Source organism: Homo sapiens, chromosome 19, assembly GCF_000001405.40.
Source record: "Homo sapiens chromosome 19, GRCh38.p14 Primary Assembly".
NCBI classification, from domain to species: Eukaryota; Metazoa; Chordata; class Mammalia; order Primates; family Hominidae; genus Homo; species Homo sapiens.
The window spans coordinates 13488702-13510823 of record NC_000019.10 but is presented as its reverse complement, the minus strand read 5'-3'; the positions used below and the strand labels follow the sequence as shown (position 1 = coordinate 13510823).

Genomic DNA, 22122 nt, shown 5'->3' with positions numbered 1-22122 from the left:
TTAAAAGAAGAGATTGGGTCTCACTCTGTCGCCCGGGCTGGAGCACAGATCATGTAGCTCACTGCAAGCCTCGAATTCCTGGGCTCAAGCCATCCTCCTGTCTTGGCCTCCAGAGTAGCTGGGAATCAGGATACCTGGGACTACAGGTGTGCACCATTTTTTTTTAAACTTTATATAACAGGAATTATACACCATGTTCTGTTCTGTGTCTGTCTTCTTGGGTTCAGCATGGAGTTTGTAAAATTCATCCATGCACCTGTGTGTAGCTCCATATTGTCCTTTCTTATTGCTGCATAAAATTCCATGTTCTACAGTGTATTTATCCATTACGGTATTTTGGAAATTTCCAACTTTTAGCAAGTATGAATAGTGCTGCACATTCTAGGGCATATATCCTCATTTCTCCTGGGTGTATACCCAGGAGTGACATTGTTGGGTCATAGGATACTCAAATGGCCATGTTAATAGAAATGACCAAAAAGTTTTTCTTTTTATGTGTTTGTTGTCGTTGTTTGTTTTTTGAGACTTGACTGTCTCCCACACTGGAGTGCATGATCTTGGCTCATTGCAGCCTCAAACTCCTGGGCTCACACAATCCTCCCACTTTGGCCTCCCCAGTAGCTGGGACTATAGGCATGCACCACCATGCTCAACTAATTTATTTATTTCCTGACCTTTTCTTTTCTTTTTTCTTTTCTTTCTTTCTCTTTCTTTTCTTTCTCTCTTTCTTCTCTTTTCTTTCTCTCTTTCTTTCCCTCCCCCCTCCCTCCCTCCCTCCCTCCCTCCCTTCCTTCCTTCCTTCCTTTTGTAGAGGCAGGGTCTCACTATGTTGCCCAGGCTGCTCTTGAACTCCTGGGCTCAAGCAGTCCTCCTGCCTCTGCCCACCAAAATACTAGGATTACAGATGTGAGCCACTGCACCCAGCCAACGGTTTTCCAAAGTGGTTGTACCAAATTCCCCTCTGTCCAACAGAATACAAGAGTCAGAAATGGGTTCAGATCCACGTTAGTGACCTTGGGAAAGTTTTTAAGTCTCCCTCACCCTCAGTGTTTGCATCTGTTCCACGGGGCTGCTGTGAAGACTCAGTGGGAGATTTACCCTGGCAGGAGCTCCATCAGTGAGATGTCACTCTTTCCTGAAAAACTCTGGGGTCTTCACAGATCTATGCAGGTAATGCTCCTGCTCTAAAACTGAATAATCTTCTCAGAGAGGTCCATCAGAACAAATGATAAGTTCAACTCAGCTCCTCTCATATGACTGGTTCTTCCCATCTGAACACATGGGCTCGCTTCTTGTTTCATATTAGTTGCTGTTCACCTTTTATATCTGAAACAATGTCAAGTACAAAAATCACTGATATTTGGTGAGCGCCTTAAAAGCCCCTCCTTCTCCCTGAATCCCACACAATTCTATCTCCTTGCAATTCCAATCACTCTTGGTTTAATCATTTCATCCATATCGTGACAAGTTAGAAAATCTTGAAAGTGCTATGGGGCAATGTATAATAGTTGGTGCATTGGCACAGAACGGGGACTTTATATAAAGACATATCATCTTTCCAGAGTGTTCCAAAAGAACTCGAATATTGATATGTGTGTGTGGGGTGGCGAGGGGGGAAGGGAATTAACTAGGATTTAACTAGCTAAGGCTTGAAAGAATATTTGCCTTTTTCATCCTTTTCCCATTCCTCTCCATTTGGCCTTTCTGCGTATACAAGCTCCATGAAAATTCAATGGTTTCTTGGTACATTGAATTTGCAAGACAGTTTGATGACATCTTATAAGCTTGAAGATATGAATACCTTGTGGACCCAGACATTCCACACCTAAGGCTATTCCTAGAGACATGCATTCTTATCTGCACCAAAGGTACCTGAGGCAGTAATGTTTAATAGCCCCAACTGGAAAAAAAACAGATACCCATCAACAAGATGATGGATAAACAAATTGTGGCATATTCTCTTGATGAAATACTATACAGCAGTGAAAGTGAATGAATCACAGCCATGTGTGACAACAAACAGGTGAATTTTTCTAAAATTCGAAACAGATTAGGATGTATGAATCTTGTTTTTTTTGTTTGTTTGTTTTTGTTTTGTTTTGTTTTGTTTGACAGAGTCTCACTTTGTTGCCCAGGCTGGAGGGCAGTGGTTTGATCTTGGCTCACTGCAACATCCTGGACTCAAGGGATCTTCCCATCTCAGCCTCCTAAGTAGCTGGGACTAGGTTCACATCACCATGCCTGGTTAATTTTTATTTTAAAAAAGGTTTTTGGAGAGACAGGGTCTTGCTATATTGCCCAGGCTTGTCTCAAACCCCTGGCCTCAAGCAATCCTCATGCTCTGCCTCCCAAAGTGCTGGGATTACAGGCGCAGACACCGTGCCCTGCCAGATGAATCTTAAAGACATAATGTTGAACCGAAGAAACAAGAAACTGTAGAATATATACTATATGATTATTCCATTTATATAAAAGCCCAAAAGAAGCAAAGTAAAATTGTATTGGTTAGGAACGCATAATAAGGTAGTCAAACTTTTTTTAAAAAAGCAAGATATGAATACCATAAAGTCAGGTAGCGATTATTGCTGGAATAAGGGGCTGTGTAAGCGTGTTGGCAAAGGGGGTTCTGCAGAGGTGGTGATGTTCCATTTCTAGCCCTAGACTTGATTTCATGAGTGTTCATTTCAGACCAATTTCTTAACTCCGTACCTTTATGTTTTATGCATTTTTCTTTGTGCTTATTGAATTTCACCACACAAAAAGCAGAATGGGAAGTAATCAAAGTGGTTCTGGAGAGACGTGAGTATCAAGCAAACTATACCACCCAGAACCCCTATCCAGCCAACTAGGACCTGGTTAATTATTTCCTCCTGGGAGTTCAGACTTGTCACCTCTGGGGTCTCCAAGGTAGAATAAACCTTTAATTCCAACTTGCAGGAGTCCTTGTGATTTGAAACGTTCACAGAAGTAACCCCAAACCACTCTCTCCACTTTCAAAAATGGTCTTTTGCTAAACAGAGCAAATTTGTTTAGAGACTGACGAATCGCACCTCTAGACACAAATCCCCTTCTCTTTTCTGTCTTTTAAGTTTTTTTCCTGCCTCCATCCTGCCTTCTCCTTGCAAGATGCTGGGGAGCGTCCGGCTGTCTGCAACCGAAATGGAACGGGGTGGAAAACAGGCTTTCCTCCCAGGGGAGGAGGAAGCACCCCAATTCCCCCCTCCCTGCCTCCCAACCATGCGACGCTCCCCTCTCTCCCCCACAAACTCCGCTGAGCCCGGTACCCCCGCGCCTCCACGAGCCTCCACGATTGGTCGCGGGCCCTCATGTGTCGACACTCTGGGTGGGTCCTTCTACTGTTAAACTCATCAATTGCTCCCCTTTTCCGTTTGCTGGCCAGTGGTTCAGACCTTTGCGCCCATTTTTTTTTCCTCTTTACCTTCTTCTACCCGCAACCCTCCACACCAGTCTTATTTTAGCAAAACCTAGAGAAGGAGGAGGTGGAGGGATTTGGAGGGTGGAGAGGCATTGCCGCATCCAGGGGCAGCTATTGAGTGGCTAAGCGGAGGGCGCATACCTCTCTCTCTCTCTCTTTTCCCCCTGTTGGGAATTTTCAGGATTTCACTGCTGCAATTTAACCCCAAGATGAGGCACCATTGAGCGAAACGCTGTGCGCACATACACACTCACACTTCCTCCGGGAGCAGAAGAGGCAGCCGTTGGTGATTCAGGAAGAAAAAAAATTTTTTTTTTTTTTTTTAAACCTGGACCCTGCGGTGTGAAGACTCCTTAGGAACCCTCTGGAGCGTCTTACTCCCCTTCCCTCCTCTTTCCCTTCCCTTTCATCTTCTTTGTTTTTATTTTATTTTATTTTTGGAGCTACAGATCTTTCAGCATTTTTAAGGTCTAGGAACTCCAGCAAAACAGAAGGGCACTTAATTTTTTTTTTTTTTTTTTTTGCCCTCCCCACCCAGACCTGGGTTTCGTCTTTCTTTATTTTTAAATATATATATATTTTTTTATTTTTTATTTTTTATTTTTTTTTAATGGGCCGAGCGCACTCCTTTTGCAAGATGCCAGCCTGACCCGGACCTCGGAGGAATTTGAAGCTTCCACTGCGTCCCGGGGGGGGCGTCCTTTGCAAACCGTTCGCGTCTTAAAGGGGGTGTGCGTTGGGTGGATTTTTTTTTTTTAACTGTCTCTTTTTTTTTTTTTCCGGAGTGGGTGGACTGGGGATTGCCTGGATTCCTTCCTCGGTTATTTTTTGCCTCGCTTCTCTCTCCCCTCCCCCCTCCTCCCCGGGCCCCCGCGCCCCGCCCCCGCACCCTCCTCCCGCCCCTCCTTCTCCGGGGTCAGCCAGGAAGATGTCCCGAGCTGCTATCCCCGGCTCGGCCCGGGCAGCCGCCTTCTGAGCCCCCGACCCGAGGCGCCGAGCCGCCGCCGCCCGATGGGCTGGGCCGTGGAGCGTCTCCGCAGTCGTAGCTCCAGCCGCCGCGCTCCCAGCCCCGGCAGCCTCAGCATCAGCGGCGGCGGCGGCGGCGGCGGCGTCTTCCGCATCGTTCGCCGCAGCGTAACCCGGAGCCCTTTGCTCTTTGCAGAATGGCCCGCTTCGGAGACGAGATGCCGGCCCGCTACGGGGGAGGAGGCTCCGGGGCAGCCGCCGGGGTGGTCGTGGGCAGCGGAGGCGGGCGAGGAGCCGGGGGCAGCCGGCAGGGCGGGCAGCCCGGGGCGCAAAGGATGTACAAGCAGTCAATGGCGCAGAGAGCGCGGACCATGGCACTCTACAACCCCATCCCCGTCCGACAGAACTGCCTCACGGTTAACCGGTCTCTCTTCCTCTTCAGCGAAGACAACGTGGTGAGAAAATACGCCAAAAAGATCACCGAATGGCCATATCCTTTTGCCCGAACCCCAGCAGCAGCTGCGCCTCCCCCTCCTCCCTCCGCCTCCCCTCTTCCAGGCTGGGAGAGAGACCCGGGGGTTGATGGGAGGTGGGGAGGAGGGGGGTCTTCCAGGGGCTGGGAGAGGGGGCACCGGGAGGAGTGTGAAAGAATCTCTCCACCCCGAGCTGGGTTGAGCTACCCTGGAGGCTTGGGAATGGGTTTGTGGGGGGCTGGGGGGTGGGCAGCGGAGAGTGGATCCTTCCCAAGGACCGACTCTAGAATGAGATCTGGGGCCTGGGGTCGTGCAGGAGCCTTGGTGGGGGCTTTCGAGCCAAGTCCGGAGGGTTTGGAGTTCTACGGAGTGAGCTTGGAGCGGGCTCGGGCCTGGGCGCTTCTGGCCAGGGCAGGGGAACTATGGGGGCCTTGGTTGGGTTTTCTTGGCCGTCGCTCACTGGAGTCCACGCAGGGGAAGCTGGACAGCCTCTCCACTACTGCTTTCCCCAAGGTGGGGGGCCGCCGCACTTTTAGGGCAGGGCGCTTGGGGGCTCCCAGGGCTAAGAGCAAGAGGGAGTCCATGTGGCCTTCACACTGAGAAGCCAGCACTGGCCGAAGTGAGTACCCCAGGGTGGGCCGCTGTTCCTATCTGGAGAGGATAGTGATGGGCTGGGGGGCGCTTATGTTTCCCTCATGTGTGCAGGTCCCATTGCCTTTAACCGCTGATTGGGGAACCTCATCATCTTTGGGGGTGTCGAGAAAGAGATCCCACTTGCTTTATCTGGGCCCCTGGCCTGGGAAGACCTGATCTGGACACTTTCAGTAAGAAAGACAGGGCAACAGCAAATGAGGTGGTGGGTCCATTTTAGAGCACCATGTCCAGCTTTTCCTACCCCGAGTAGCCGAGAGGGAACACCAGGAGAATCAGCACCCATGTGGACATCTTAGGTAGGTAAATGCCTTTTAAATTTTTTTTTTTTTAATCAAAGATCCAGAGGAAAAAGGTGAAGCCCACATTTTCTTCTGTGGAGATGCTATCAAAATGCAGATCTTCTGTGTTTCTTTAAATCCCTGCCTGCTTGAAATAAACCTTGAGGAGGGCTTAACATCTATCGAGATGTAGGCAGGCAAGGGTGGGTAATTAGTCGGGCTTTCTAGCAGTTATCTAAGCATGACCCAGATTCCAGGAGGGGGGACACACCCTGCTGCCCAGGCTGGCTGGCCACTGTGCCATGCCCAGATGTGCCGCTTCTCCGCACAGTTCCAACCAGCTGCCCTCTGTGTAAAAATGAACGGGCTGGATGGGTCCCTGGGGCTCAGCGATGAGTCCCCTATCCCTTTTGTATGTGGTTTTGCAGTTATAGACTAAACGGGGCTGGGCCCTGTGTGGTCTCCGGGGGTTGCTGTTTGAGGAGCATGGCGGGTGGTAGAGGGACTCACTTCAGGGGGGTTCAAAATCGAGCCTGGCGCTTGGATCCTGGGTGCTGGGATTGCAACAGAGGGCACTGAGGTTTTGGAGTGTGTGAGTGGTCTACTTTGAGGGTGGGGAAAATTAAGAAGTTCAGCAGAGGTGCTTTTGAGGGGAGCATACCTCTAACTACGATGCCATCTCCGTTGGTGCCCAAAGCAGGTGCCAGGTCTTTGCTTCCTAAGTTTCAGACTCTTAAAGAGGCTGGTTCTTAAGGTTAGCAATTCCTCACCATCCCAGGCCCATTGAAGTGCTCAGGGGTGGCTTGATTACTCTGCCTATCAACAGAGTGAGGAGTGGGAGTGCCTTGCAGGAGGACAGGGTATTCATGGGTGCACACCCAGTTAGCTCCAGGAGTGAGAGGGCTTTGCTCGGCTGACAGGTTTCCTCATTGAAAATGGCTTTAGATCGCCTTCTGGAGCCTGGATTTGGAGACTTCTAAGAGGAAAGGAAGGAGGTGGGGAGCCCTTCTGCTGTGTCCTTAGCTTACCTCTGTCCAGCCTGAATCCTGCAGATTGGAGGGCTGTTGGGGGAGAGGGGGATTGCAGTGGCCCCTCGGAAGGGGGAATCGTGGGAGAGGGAGGCAGGTGAATTGCGAGTGTTGCTTGCCACTTCATCTATTCTCTGGCCAGCTCGCCCGGGGCTTTCTTGCTCTTATGATGAGTTTGTGCATTATGCTCTCTGCAGACTGTTTTTGTTCTCTTTGACCCGAGGTAACAAACACATTATACAGCCCTACTCTGGAAGGGAAAACTCCCCACCTCACAATCTGTCATCGAGCTGGGTCATCCAGGACTGAGCTTTCTCTGTCCTGGATGGAGCGGAGGGCGGTGGCGGGGTGGGTGGGAGGGTTGGAGATGAGAGGGGATGGACAGAGACCTGGGGAGGGAGGTAGTGAATAAAAGAATTCAGGCCAGTGTAAAGAGAAAGACACGTGGAATGTCAGAGTCACGATACCAGGGCAGAACATTCTACTTTTTAATCTAAATATTTCTGCCATTAAAAAAAAATGTTTCAGCATATCCTGAGAGTGAAAAAAAAAGTGTGTAGGTACTTAAATAAAGTCTAATATATGTACAGGCAAGTACATATATTCAGATGCATAGATTTTTACAAAATGAACACACCCACGTATCCAGCACCCAGGTCCCGATCAGTGCCCTGGAAGTCCCCCTCCCCATACCGCCTCCTAGTTGCTCCCCCAACAAGGGTACCGCTCACCTGACTTCTAAGGTTCATTTTGCCTCTTTTAAACATGTAAATGGAGTCACACAGTACGTTCTTTTGCCACTGGCTTCTTTTGCTCACATCTGTGTATGTGACTCTACTACAATCTATCCATTCTACTGTTGATGGGCATTTGTGTCATTTCTGTTTGTGCCACTGGGAACATTCTTGTGTCTTCTATTATTTTTTTCCCACAGTTCTCTTAGATAGGAGTGGAATCGCCCCTGCTACTTTTTGATGCATGTGTTGTGGGATGTGTATTTGGAAATGGTGTTGACTAAGGGTTGCAGGTCGATATGGAAAGCAGGTTCCTCCCTGTCTTGTTTAAGAGAAGTGAGTGAATGATCCATGAACTTGTCGGTATGCTCACAGGGCCTAAGAGTGCTACTTCCAAATGTAAATTCTGGCATGGTACACTGGTGAAGGATGCAGTCTTGCTTTCTCCACACTCGGGGCAATTTGTCACTATGATTTCTTCCTCTTTCATCCCTCAGTGGGTCAAACTTGAAGCCATCAATGACAATTAAGAATCCTCATTTATTTCATTTTTTCCCCTCTTCCTAAGTGAGGAAACCCAAATGGAAGTCTTTGATGTTCAAATTTACATTGCCGTGTTTTTCTCATGCCAGGCAGCAAGCCGTCTTGACCACACACCTTGGTTTCATGTTTTCATTGACTGGAATTGTGATTCAAATAGGGCCATGAGGGTCTCTGATGATTGCCGAAGAGCTCAGATCTGTCAGCTCAAAAAGGAGCATCTGTCAGCCTTCCTAGAGTTCCCTCCCCACTTAATGCCACTCACTCCTTCTACCAAGTGCCAAGGTGAATGTCATCTTTCCAGCCCTCCCTGTGCCACCAGGTCTCCCACTGAACATGATGTAGAAACTCAGGCCATCGGAGGAACACTGGAAGCAGGTCAGTGTATTATCACGCACAGTTGCCTGAATTACACGTAGAATTCCAGCTTTTCATCCGGTTTGCAGAAATCTTAACAAGACACCTAAAGTCACATTGACATCAGGTGACATCACTTTGACATCTGTGGACATTGGCTGATTGGCACTCCTCTCATTTTTTTTTTTTTTTTTTTTTTTAAGAAAAGCTCTCTAAAGAGAAACTTTCTGCATGAGAAGCGCTGGGAGACATGGGAGCAGGTTATCAGACTCTTGGCCTGTCCTGAGAGATAGAATGTTCTAGAAGGTACTGCCGTAGAGGGCAGGATGGTGTCACTTACGTGATCCTTGTACTAGACCGGCTTGGCTGGTATTTCCAGAGGAGCAAAATTCTGCGAAGTAAAATTTAGCACGGCTTTTCCAATGGGAGTATTTTCAAAAAGGGTGCAATTTCTTATCCACAATTCCCCAATCCAAAAAGCTCCAAAAACCAAAAGACGAGCTCATATAGAGGTAAAACCTAACCTGAACTGACTTCAGTTTGAAGTCTTAATTTACAGTTTTCATTCATTCTACTTGGTGTGCATTTGAGTATGTTTTGCAGCAGAAATGTTAGATGTGCTTGATGATGAGGTGCTGCTTCAGCTCCTGACTGTTAGGTCTGCATTGTAGTCCTGTCAAACTTTCAGGTGTATGGAAGTTGTCTTGTTAACAGGATGGTTCTGGTCCAGCAGGATTTGGGTGGGGTCTGGGATTCTGCTTTTCTAGCTAGCTTCTAGGGATTCCCCATGTGGTAAGTTCATGGGCTAGGGTTGGAGTATCCAGGTTAGATCATAGAGACATCTTGTTATCATTTTTCTTTTCCTTAAAAATCAGGTTTATAGGGGCCGGGTCTGGTGGTTCACGCCTATAATCCCAGCACTTTGGGAGGCTGAGGCCGGTGGATCATGAGGTCAGGAGTTCGAGACCAGCCTGGCCAACATGGTGAAACCCCGTCTCTACTAAAAATACAAAAATTAGCCAGGCGTGGTATTGTGCGTCTATAATCCCAGCTACTCGGGAGGCTGGCAGGAGAATCATTTGAACCTGGGAGGCAGAGGTTGCAGTGAGCCGAGATTGCACCACTGTACTTTTTTTTGAGACTCTGTCTCAAAAAAAAAATAGATTTATTGATGTATAATTTATTTGTAGCAAAATTCACCCTTTTGACATACTGGTCTGCAAGCTTTGACAAATGGATGTAGTTGTGGCCACCACCCAAATCAAGATATGGGACAGTTTCATCAACCCTAAAATACCCCCACAGTGCCCCTCTTGAGTCAGCACCCCACTTCTCCAGCCCCTTCAACCACTGATCTGTTCTCCATCCCTACAGCTTTGCCTTTTGCCGAAGGTCATATAAATGTAATTTCACAGTATATAGCCTTTTGAATGTGGATTCTTTTACTCAGACTTTGAGATTCATTCATGCTGTTGCCTGTGACAGTAGCGCCTTCCTTTTTGGTGTTGAGCAGGATTCCATGATATGGATGGACCAGAGTTTGCTTCCCAGCCGAAGGACATTGGGATGCTTCCAGTTTCAATGATTATGAATAGAGCTGCTATAAACATTGGCTTATGGGTTTTAGTGGGAACATTTCATTTCATACATTTCATTTCTCTTGGGTAAATTAACCCAGGAGTGAGATTGCTGAGTTGTGTGGTAGGTGTATGTTTAATTTTATAAGAGGCTCTCAAACTGTTTTCCTAAGTGGTTGTACCATTTTACATTCCCATCTTTGCAATGCGTCTAAAAGCCCTGAGTTCTGAATTCCAAAGCACGTCTGGCCTCGATGGCTTAGGATTAAGGATGTGGATCTATGGAAAGGAGTGGAAGTAATAGTGTTAAATCCCGGTCAGAGAAATAAGAAAGATTAAGGATGTCATTCAAAGCTATGTGCCTGCACTAGAGAGAGAGAAAGAAGGGGTTCTCTTGGGTGGGGTTCCACCCCTCCCTGGTAGTTCTACCATTCCCCAGGAAAAAGTCAAGCTCTGAGGCTGTGAGACCCATGATCTTTACCCTGTTCTTCACCACTGCAACCCCAGTGTGTGGGACAAAGCAGGCGTCCTATAAACGTTTGCTGAGCAAATGAGAAAAGGTACCTGTCTTCACCCATTAACTAAATTGTATAACATCTATCTGATCTACCCTTGTGCCAACGTTTTAGGATTTTGATGGGTTTTAGTTGCAGGGGGTTGAGAGACTGTCCATGAGATTATCAGACCAATGAAAGTTTCTGAAATGTTAGTGCTTGAGTAGATTGGATGCAGCGGCCCCTTGAGAATGAAGTCTTTCTTCAGGGACTTGGAGTGGGAGGCATCTGTTGGGTGCGTAGGGCTTATGCTTCCCCCTCCCTGTTTCCCCCCCAGTAGCAAGCACACATATACACTTTCTCAGCAATAAAAAGCACCGCCGGGAAGGTGGACTCCATCCAGAAATGATCAGAGCCTAAGAGCCGTGCAGTAACGCATTTCCGAGAATGCCAGCTCAGCTCCTGAGAAAAGGGCCGGATGGGATGGTGCCTGCTCTGAAAGAGGGCAGAGAGGAGAGGGAAAACACTCCGGACTCTGGGTCAGACTGGCCCAGGTTCACATTATTCACCAGCCATGTTATCTTGGGCACCAGAGCCTATTTCTTGACATGCATGATGAGGATATTCCTTCTAGTAGCATCTCCCTTGGAGGGCTCTCAGGAGATTAAATGGGGTCGTGCGTGAAAAATGGCCAGCACAGTCTCCAGCACAGAGAAAAACCCCAAAACGCCAGAGCCGTAATACTATGGAGTCATTTAGGTTCCAGTGTTCTTTTTTTGGAAACCGGCCAGAAAAGAGGCTTTCTGGGTGGGAATGGGAGCGAAGTGCCCCCCCCCACCACCCCCTGCGACTGGTCAGTGTGGATTGATTAACCTGATCGTGGCGCTCTTTAAAGCCACCTTTGGACATTTTGCATTCTCCGTTCTCTCTGGAAGCTTTCAGGGGAAAAAAAATTCGTGGCCACTTGACCCATTTTTCTATTCCCTTGAGTCTAAGGTAAAAATTAATTCTCTTTCCTCCTTTGGTCCCTCCCTCTCTCTGTGGGTGACAAGGTGAGGGAGTTTTAAAGTATATAATTAGCTTCCCTCTTCCCCTTTTGCACTCCCTGTCTCTTCCTTTGGGGCCGGTCGAGAGTGCAGCCCAGGATGGCCACCCCAGGTGTCCACTGCAAACTCCACAGAAAAACTTTGCTCAACTTTTGGTTTAGAATTTAGGTACCCCCCTCCCCTTCCAAACTTTGGTCTTCTTTCTCCTCACTCCCTAAAAAAATAGGAAAAACAAGGAACATTCCTGGCGAGGGAACCATGAGTGGGCACAGCAACTTAGGTTTCAAAAACCACTGGGCCTCAGTTCTTATCTGAGTAGGGTGACCCTTCAGCCAGGGTTGCCTGGGACTATCCTGGGTTTAGCATCTCTGGAAACTCACAGTCCTGGGCAAACTGGGACGCTGGTCACCCTAATGGTGAGTTCTTAACACCTGAGAGAGAAGAATGGTGCAAGAGATGGTGCCGTTGACCAAGAAAGGGGGAGAGTCAGTTACTTATTCCCTCTGAAAAGCCAAGACTTTTTATTGGAATGAATGCAGCTTTTAGAAGCCGTCTTTAAGGCAGCTAATACAAGAGAGATTCCAGCTATGAAGGGAAATGCCTGAGTTAAGTCCGGATCAAGTTTTGACATCTCGCTTCGGTCAGACACGGCTTTATCTGCCGTTCAGACTGGGAGCAGCCGTGAGTCTTCCTTAAAGGTGCCTGTTGCTCAGGCGGCACCTGCAGTTAGAAATTAGCAGCCTCCCACCCCCAGCCCCCAAATAACAGGATTCAAGAGTCCCCTCTCTGAAGCCATGAGGGAAACCCAACTTAGTCACCCACTTGCCAGTAAATAATATTCATGCTGTTAAGTTCTGTTCTCATTTTAGGCCTATGTGTAAAAAATATATGTAATTTTAAACTGATTTTTAAAGTATTTTCATACGAACAGCATTTGCAGGAGGGCGAAGTCTGGATGTTACCTTTTTGTAAAAGTGGATGGATTTGTCTTCAATGAGACTCTGGGGCAGACTTAAAACTTGGCCCGCAGTGGTGTTACATGGATTCTGATCTTCCAGAGTCTGTCACGTTCTTTTATCTCCATGATCTTTATTATCTTCTTTATTGAGAATGATGGGCATGGTGTGTGTGGGTGGGAGGGCTATGCTGACCATCACTGCAGTGAAATGTGTTCGTGGCATGTTGTGGCGTCTGCATAGGAATGTGTCTGTTTGATTAACAGCACAAGCAGTGGAGGCTGTAAGGAGGAAAAGAGGAGGGAAGGTGATATTGGATGGAGGGGAGACATATAGAGCTTGGGAACAGTCCACCCTGGCTGCAAATCTCAGCTCCAGCTCACAGTTGTGGAGCCTCAGTCTTCTCCTCTGTAAAACGGGGACAGTAGTCCTATGTCCGAGGAATTGTAAGAAGGTTAAAAGATACTGTACCCAGAAAGCACATGGCATATATAATCATCCTGTGAAGTAGCCAACTCAATGAATTTTATTTTATTTATTTTGAGTCAGAGTCTCACTCTGTCACCCAGGCTGGAGTGCAGTGGCATGATCATGGCTCACTATAGCCTCGACCTCCTAGGCTCAAGCGATCCTCCTGCCTTAGCCTCCCGAGAAGCTGGGACTATAGGCATGCACCACCGTACCCAGCTTTAACAACATAAATTTATATATATATATATATATATATATATATATATATATATATATATATATATATATATATTTTTTTTTTTTTTTTTTTTTTTTTTTTTTTTTTGAGATGGAGTTTCATTCTTGTTGCCCAGGCTGGAGTGCAATGGCGCGATCTCGGCTCACTGCAACCTCCGCCTCCCGGGTTCAAGCAGGACGATGGGCATTTGGGATGTTTCTAGTTTGGGGTGGGGGATTGTTTGTTTGTTTGCTGTTATGAACAATGCTGCTGTAAGGAATCAATAATTTTGAATGAATGAATTCGAGGTGTTAATTTTAGTCTGTGTACTTGGAAATCTAGCTTCACCTAGAATCAGCTGAGATTCATCAGCATTTATGGCAGGAGCTAAGACATTTCACAGCTTACTCATCATTTTCTCTAAGAGGCTGGGTCAACCGGTTAGCTCTTGGTCCTGCTTGTATTCTGAGAGTCAGAACCTGTGGTTTAGACACTGGCAATTGATATGGTTGTAGAGAAGCAGCATGGTTGAGTTGAGAGCATGGATTCTGGAGCTAGGTGGCTGGGGTTCAAATCCCAGCTCTACTAGTCACTGGCTGCGTGATCTTGGGCAAGTCACTTAAGTGTTCTGTGCTTCAGTTTCCCAGTCTGTCCCAGTGGTGATTCTAATAGCTCCATGGGGATCCTAATAGCTCCTATCTGGGAGGATTAAATGAGTTAATACATCTGATGTTTAGAGTGGTGCCTGACACTTAGGAAGCACTATATGTGTTTATACATGGAAGAGTGGATAGATGGATGGACTTATGTGGGTGGCCATATTTGGGCTTCTCTGATCCACTGCTGAGAATAGTGTGTGGCACACAGTAGGTGCTGCATAAGTGTTAATATTCTGCTCTTTCTTGCCAAGTCTCTCAACTCCCTTGATCTCTGTTATTTTTGGCGTCTGTGTTGTTAACCCATTCTTCTGAATGATCAGCTGAATCACTGTTGCTCCAATATATAAGCCAAGGAGAACACAATCACAAGGTCTCATTGATTGTCCATACTAGAATTCCATGATTCCTAGGCCCAAGTAGGATTTTCCCCACGTCTCAGCAATCCTTCTTCCATGTTTCTAATCTTTTTCTCTCATTTGTTATGCCCCATTGCCAGACTCTCCAATCTCCCCACAGCTTCCCCTTCCTCTAACTATACTGTCTCTAGTCTTACCTTCTCCCTAAGGGCACCGTCTTTGAAGACATCAAATACTTCAGAGCACCAAATATAGGTTAGCTTCTCTGAGGGCCTTACAAGGACATGGAGTGTTTGGGTCTTACACAAATTGGAATGGTCAGAAATGTTTAGAGACTTGAGTTGTCTTTGAAAGAGTTGTCAGAATGCAAATTTTTGACTTGTGGCCTGTTTCTGATCACAACGCAGTCTTTTAAGTTATGGATCATAGCTGGATGTTTGTGGTTTAGAGGGGATGGAGGCATCCTCTGCAGTTAGTGTTGGATGTCTGGGTGGATGGATGGATGGATGGATGGATGGATGGATGGATGGATGGATGGTTGAACAGATGCATGGATGAGTGGATGGATGGATGGATGGGATGAAGGAAGGAAGGAAGGATGGGTGATTGGAGGGTAGGTGGGTGGATAAGTAGATTGGTAGATGACTCGATGGGTGGGTGGACAAATGGATGGGTGAATGGATGACTGGATGGATGACTGGATGGATTGGTGTATGAGTGAATATATGGCTGGATGAATAAATAGGCAGATGACTAGACTGGATTGAGGGGTAAAAATATGGATGACTGGATGGGTGGATGAGTGGATGATAGATGGTTGAATGGGTGGGTGGATGGGTGGATGTTGGATATAAGGGTGTATGGTAGGGTAGCTGTCTATGTGTGGGTCTCCCTGATATTTGGTGTTCTGTTTGACTTGGGAATGACCAAGTCTCTCCGCTTACCACCTTATTTGTACCTTTTCCAGTATCAAGTGAATTTTGCACACTTTTGTAAAAATCAATAAGATTGTATGTTTAGGACTTTGGGAGGCCGAGGCAGGCAGATCACAAGGTCAGGAGATAGAGACCATCCTGGCTAACAGGGTGAAGCCCCATCTCTACTAAAAATACAAAAAATTAGCCAGGCGTGGTGGCGGGCACCTGTAGTCCCAGCTACCTGGGAGGCTGAGGCAGGAGAATGGCATGAACCCGGGAGGTGGAGCTTGCAGTGAGCCAAGATCATGCCACTGCACTCCAGCTTGGGCGACAGAACGAGACTCCATCTCAAAATAAATAAATAAATAAATATTATATGCTTAGGTTTTACCTATGTAATTAGAAAGCTCCTTGAGGGTAGGGGACAGTGATTTGCCTTCCTCACATCCCCCCAAAGTTCCTGCACTATATCATGCATAAGTATTTAATTGAGTAATGGTGAGGAAAGTAAACAGTGTTATTGAACAAAGATTATTAAAATTCTGGAAACACCTGGTTTTGTTTCAGCACTGGGACTGAAAGTGGAATTCCTTGGATTTTGCTCCATTGGTGGATAGGATAGCATGTGGTGGTGGACTGGTAGACTCTTTCTCTTCCAAGCAGATTGGGTAAATGCCCCAGATTCTTACCCACTAGTCAGAGATTACAGATTACTGATTGATATGGTTTTTCTCTGTGTCCCCACCCAAATCTCATCTCAAATTGTAATACCCACATGTCATGGGAGGGACCTGGTGAAGGTGACTGGATCATGGGGGTGATTTCCCCCATGCTGTTCTTGTGATAGTGAGTTCTCATGAGATCTGATGGTTTTAAACTTGTGTGGGCCTCTTTCCTCTCTCTCCTCTCCTGCTGCCATGTAAGACGTGCCTTGCTTTCCCTTTGCCTTCTGCCATGATTTGTAAGTTTCCTGAGGCGTCCCCAGCCATGCAGAACTGTGAGTCAATTGAACCTCTTTTCTTTATAAATTACTTTTATAGCAGTGTGAAAACGGACTAACACACTGATGTAGCAAGGTCCTTTAAGGCCCCATGTGATCTGGTCCCTGTTTTGTCTTTGATCTCATCTCTTTCATTGTCTACCTTCCTTTCATTGTCTATTCTGTCTCAGCCCTGCTGACCATTTTACTCACACCCATGTCATTTGCATTACATGACATTCCTTCTGTTCAGCATAAGCTATTTCCTCTGCCTGCATCACTGTTTCTCCAGGTCTCCCCATGGCTAACTCCTTCTCTTCATTTAGGTCTCAGCCCAAAAGTTACCTCCTCCAAGAGGCCTATCCTTTTCATTTACTGAACATCTCATGTACAAAAAAGAATATAAAATATATGTATACTCTCTCATCCACAAAAAAATCTCTGAAGACATTTTAATGTATTTCATCCCATACCTTTTTATGCATGTAAACTTTTAGGAACACATTTCCATGCCACTAGGTATCCTTGAAAAAATAAGGGCCACCATGTATAGTTGCACAGGTTGTGCACTGCACAAAGATAGCATGTCACATATCTTAAGTATCATGGAGCTTGTATGTCTACTATTTCAGTACCCCAGCTGATAAAAGCTTAAGTATCTTGTTCTAGCAAGATGAAGCTATTATGACAATTTTTGACAGAGAAAGGGGTGTTTTGTTTAAGTTCACAATCAGAGAAATGGGTGTCTTGTTTAATTTCACAACCAGAGAAAGGGGTGTCTTGTTTAAATTCATACAGTGGTGCTGTATGGGTTGGTGGCAACCCCAGAAAAGACTGTTGTTAATATCTGATAATGTTCCACTTTATACGTGTATTATATTCATGTAACAATCTCTGGCTGTTTGTTTTGCCATTATAAATAACAGTGCAGTAAACATCTTTGTGTGTGAATCTCTGTCCAAGGTTCTGATAGTTTTCTGAATGAAATTCCTGTCTATATATGGCACTCCAAGCCCATAATTGAAACTCTGCTGTTACCACTTTCTTTGAATCTGTAGAAGGAATTTTGAGAACAGGTGACTGGTATATTCAGGATGTTGATGACAAGGAACAGAGAAAGAACAGTTAAATGGTTTGGAATTTTTCCTGGGCTGCATGTAAAGCAGTGCTTTTGAACTGGGAGCAATTTTTCCCCCAAGGGGACTTTTGGCAATGTCTGGAGACGTTTTTGGTTGTCACGAATGTAGGGGGAGGGGGCAAGATGCTACTGGCATCTGGCTGGTAGAAACCAGGGATGCAGTTCAGCATCTTAAAATGCACAGGACAGCCTTTCTCAGTAAAGAATTATCCAGCTCCAAATGTCAGTAATACCAAGGTTGAGAAATCTTGATGTAATCGATGTCATGGGTTTCTTCAAGAGGAGTGGGTGGATTTAGGGTTTTTGGGTGACTTAAATTTAATTTACAGTTTGTCTTCCTAGCTGGGTGTCTAAGCCAGCTTTCTGTGAACTTTAGATCCCACACAAGAAGCAACAGGCTTGCTACCGACAGATTCGTTGATGTAAATATAGATGAGTGTATAGAAGGAAATCTCACCCAGAGCTGGAAAATGTTGGAATGAAAACTGCGGCGGCCTCCCCTTCTCTCTCCTTCCCCTTCTGTTGCCCTGTTTGAAAATCGTGCCTTACTTTCTTTGGTCTCCTGGCATGGTGAATGCTGCTGGTATGGACTGTGTTTCTATATCCCCTTGATCCCCACACCCTTAGGAACGTACAGGAGAGAGACCCTGGAGCATATCAGCTTAGAGATGGAGGGGAATGGGAAGGAGTGCGTTCATTCATTCATAAATGTTGACTGAGCACCTACTGTATGCTAGGTGAATGGGAGGACGTGAGGGCAGGGAGGTGACAAGGTTGGCTTATTCTGGGCTTTGTGAACTATGGTGAGGATTTTGTTTTTTTCCAAAGGAAATGGAATAACCACTCCTTTTTTCCCCCCGATATACCTAAACTTTTTGATTTTCATAACAAAAATGGGCTTCCTTTTGTATATTTGTTTTGAGACCAGCCGTTTTTCCACCAACACTGATCACACTGCAGTGAGCATCCTGGTAGAGAAGTCTTTGCACACTTCTGTCACTGTTTCCCTAGGACAGATTCCTGGAAATGGTATGGCAAGGTTGTATGTCAGGCTTTTGGGCCAGGTTGCAAGAAACAGGAAGTCTGTGCCCTTTCAAATTCCAAGGTCCCCTTTCCCTGACGACGTGGCCCAATCAGGCTTGCCCTCCCTTGATTTTACATCTTCACCAATCAGATAAGTGAAAGTGAAATCCTGTTGTGGTATCCTGTGCATTTCTTTGGTGACTTAAGACATAGAGCATTTTCCAGATCTCTGTGGGCTGTTTGGATATCCTTTCCTCTGTTTTCTCAGGCACATTCTTTACCGATGTCTTTGAGGGATTGAGCAAGTTTCTGTTGAAATTGAGGCATGTCATGGCTCTGTGTGGGGCTTGAGGCAGTCCAGTGTAGTGGAGGGAGGGAGGCTGTGGAGCCTGGCTGCCTAGGTTCAAATACCAACTCTGCTTATTTCCATTCATATCATTTTAGGCAAATCACTTAGCCCCCTGGGCCTGCCTTTCCTCATCAGTAAAAGTGGTATAACATTAGTGCCTGCATTGTGGGGTGGTTGTGAGGAAAGCAGCACTCAAAACAGTACCTGACACACAGTGGGTGCCAAATAAGAGTCTGATGTATTAGTGTTATAGGTATCGGCCTCCTCCCTCCCCAGTGCAATAGTGTGTGTGCGCCTCTGTGTACCTCTGTTGGTGCTGACAAGCCCTTTTTAAAATTTAGAGGTGAGGTCTCACTCTGTCCCCTAGGCTGGAGCACAGTGGTGCAATCATGGCTCACTGCAGCCTCAACCGCCTGGGCTCAAGCAATCCTCCCAGCTTAGCCTCCTGAGTAGTTGGGACTATCGGTGTGCACCACCACACCTGGCCCTTAGACAGCCCCTTTATTTCAAAGCGAAATGGCAGCCACAAGATTTAGTGCAAGCTCTCCAAGCTTTAGGACCAGCTGCAACTCCTCTAACTGACCAAACAGGATCCCCCATGTCCCCAACCCCCAAAACCTGATGAAAAGCAAACAGACCATTTTCCACATTCATGACGGAAAGGCCCTTTTCTTGGCTCCTGCCCTTGCTCATGTCAGGATTTCACTCCATCCCTGATAAAGAGGAAGCACCATGTCCCAGGAGGACATGGAAACTCTCTGCTTTGTGGTGAATAGTTACAGTAACAGTAGCTCCTCTCTGTGGGGAGCTTATGAGCCCCTAAGCTTTATAGAACTGCCCTGGCAGTTTATGAGAACTTCATCCCAGCCCCCAGAGCTCATGGCACTTATTTTTGCCCCCAGTTTGCAGATGTGCACACTGAGACTCAGAGAGCTAACACTGCTTGCCAAGGTCACACATCTAGCAAATGGAGAAACTTTATGAGACAGGTGAAGGCACAGCAAGGATAAAAACCCAGAGGGAAAAATACTCAAGTTTTCTCCGGGAAACCATTTGCATTCCAGAGAGGTTGGTGTGCGAGTGGGCAAGAGATGTCGCGGGACGATGGTTAAGGGACAGAGTCTGAGCTCAACTAGGACTAGGTTTCTTCCTTTCCTTCCTTCCTTCCTTTCTTCCTTCCTTCTTCCTTTCCTTTGTCTTTCTCTCCCTCCCTTCCTTCTTCCTTTCCTTCCTTTCCTTTCTCTTTCCCTCCCTCCCTCCCTTCCTTCTTCCTTCCTTACTCCTTTCCTTCCTTCCTCCTTTCCTTCCTTTCCTTTCTCTTTCCCTCCTTCCCTCCCTCCCTTCTTCCTTCCTTTCTTTCCTTCCTTCCTTTTTCCTTTCTCTTTCCTTTCTTTCCTTTCCTTCCTTCCTCTCTTCTTCCTTCTTTTCTTTCTTTCTTTTCTCTTTCTTTCTTTCTTTCTTTCTTTCTTTCTTTCTTTCTTTCCTTTCTTTCTCTCTCTCTCTCTTTCTTTCCTTCTTTCTCCTTCCTTCCTTCCTTCTTTTCTTTTCTTTTCCTTTCTTTTCTTTTGTTTTTTGAGATGGAGTCTCGCTCTGTTGCCCAGGCTGGAGTGCAATGGCACAATCTCAGCTCACTGCAACCTCTGCCTCCCGGTTCAAGCAATTTTCCTGCCTTGGCCTCCCAAGTGGCTGGGACTACAGGCACGCGCCACCACACCCAGCTAATTTTTGCATTTTTAGTAGAGATGGAGTTTCACCATGTTGGCCAAGCTGGTCTCGACCTCTTGACCTCGTGATCCTCCTGCCTCAGCCTCCCAAAGTGCTGGCATTACAGGCGTGAGCTACCACGCCTGGGCTAGGACTAGGTTTCTATCGGTGGTGTGGCTTTTGGGAAGCTACCTAATCTTAACCACTCTGTTTCGTCATCTATAAGATAAGCAGTGTAGCATTTTCTTGCAGGAATGTTGCAAGGATTAAGTGGATGGTGACTGTAAAACATCATGCGTGGCACATAGTAAATTCTCAGCAGGTAGTCATTGCTGGTCATTTACTTTTCTCTAATGACCAGCAAGCTCTTAATTTCCTCCTTGGCATGGGCACTGGGACGTAGATGGACAAAACACAGAGAGAAATAAACACACGGACAAAAATCCCCGCCCTGGTGTGGCTGATATTCTGGGTGGGGAGAGAGAGGGAGTCCAAGGACCAGATAAACAGGTAAAGGATAGTTTGAGTGTGGTAAGTACTAAGGCTCAAAAATAAAGATCTCCCAGGTGATCTTAGCTGCATTTGGAGGTGACAGGAGATACAACTGAGAAACTGAGATAGGAGGAAACCCAAGGGGAGATGTGGGCTTGATTTAGGGTGATCTGAGGAGTAGGAGAAGTCAGGGGCTGGTGTGGGGAGGCTCTGATGGTTCTCTCTGGGGAGTGAAGCAGGGATTCGTTGGGGAGACCCAAGGGGACAGGTGAAGGCCCCTGAACAGGTGGCCAGTGCTGAGAAAGGAAAGGTGGAGGACCCAAGTGAGTTCCTAATTTCTTCATTGCTCCCCTAAGGTGTTTGTCTCACCCTTGGCCATAGTCTTGGATCACTTACAGATGCAGACCAGGCTGGGCTCAATGGCTTGTGCCTGTAATCCCAGCACTTTGAGAGGCTGAACCCAGGAGTTTGAGAGCAGGCTGGGCAACATGGTGAAACCCCGTCTCTACAAAAAAATACAAAAATTGGCCGAGGGTGTTGGCACATGCCTGTAGTCCCAGCTACTTGGGAGGCTGAGGTAGGAGGATCTCTTGAGCCCGGGAGACCTATGCTGCCAAATAAGGTAGGCAGTAGCCACACATGGCTATTGCAATTTTAGAAATTAATTACAGGCCACATGTGGTGGCTCACACCTGTAATCCCAACACTTTGGGAGGCCGAGGCGGGCAGATCATGAGGTCAGGAGATCGAGATCATCCTGGCCAACATGGTGAAACCCCATCTCTACTAAAAATACAAAAATTAGCTGGGCATGGTGGTGCACACCCGCAGTCCCAGCTACTCGGGAGACTGAGGCAGGAGAATTGCTTGAACCCAGGAGGCAGAGGCTGCAGTGAGCTGAGATTGCACCACTGCACTCCAGCCTGGGCAACAGAGAGAGACTCCGTCTCAAAAAAAAAAAAAAAAAAAAAAAAAAGAAAAGAAAAGAAATTAATTACAATAAAAACAGTCCCTGAGTTTCACTGGCCACATTTGAAGTGCCCGATGACCCTGTGTGGCTTAGTGACCACTGTGCTGAATAGTGCAGATCTAGAGCATCCTACTGGACATGTTGCCAGGGTCCCTGAACCAACAGAATTAGCATCTCCTGGGAGCTTGTTGGAAATGCAGAATCTCATCCCCTACCCCAGACCTGCTCAATCCCAATCTGCTCTTCAGTGAGATTCCTCAGGTGATCTTGACTGCACCTTCTAATCACTTGGAAGCTTTAAAAATGCT

General features: G+C 46.7%; 1 protein-coding gene across 5 annotated transcripts in view, besides 4 other annotated features; it reads left to right on the top strand.

Annotated features, from left to right (window-relative positions):
• Window positions 2777-3303: an enhancer, noted in NCBI's record as "H3K4me1 hESC enhancer chr19:13618335-13618861 (GRCh37/hg19 assembly coordinates)". NCBI's record gives its function as "activates a minimal SCP1, AML or CMV promoter by ChIP-STARR-seq in primed H9 embryonic stem cells {active_cell/tissue: H9 hESC(primed)}" and the evidence as "EXISTENCE:reporter gene assay evidence [ECO:0000049][PMID:30033119]".
• The window catches only part of CACNA1A (calcium voltage-gated channel subunit alpha1 A), a 300038-nt gene continuing 282260 nt past the window's right edge, over window positions 4345-22122 (top strand). For all 5 annotated transcript variants that reach the window (NM_001127222.2, NM_001127221.2, NM_001174080.2 and 2 more), the window contains exon 1: window positions 4345-4892. In NM_001127222.2, the coding sequence (NP_001120694.1) occupies window positions 4600-4892 (293 nt within the window). In that variant the 5' untranslated portion in view covers window positions 4345-4599. The remainder of the gene's footprint in view (window positions 4893-22122) is intronic.
• Window positions 18275-18569: an enhancer, noted in NCBI's record as "tiled region #1233; HepG2 Activating non-DNase unmatched - State 23:Low, and K562 Activating non-DNase unmatched - State 22:ReprW". NCBI's record gives its function as "activates a minimal TATA promoter and a strong SV40 promoter by Sharpr-MPRA in HepG2 and K562 cells {active_cell/tissue: HepG2 | K562}" and the evidence as "EXISTENCE:reporter gene assay evidence [ECO:0000049][PMID:27701403]".
• Window positions 18275-18972: a biological region, named in NCBI's record as "Sharpr-MPRA regulatory region 1233".
• Window positions 18360-18972: an enhancer, noted in NCBI's record as "NANOG-H3K27ac-H3K4me1 hESC enhancer chr19:13602666-13603278 (GRCh37/hg19 assembly coordinates)". NCBI's record gives its function as "activates a minimal SCP1, AML or CMV promoter by ChIP-STARR-seq in primed H9 embryonic stem cells {active_cell/tissue: H9 hESC(primed)}" and the evidence as "EXISTENCE:reporter gene assay evidence [ECO:0000049][PMID:30033119]".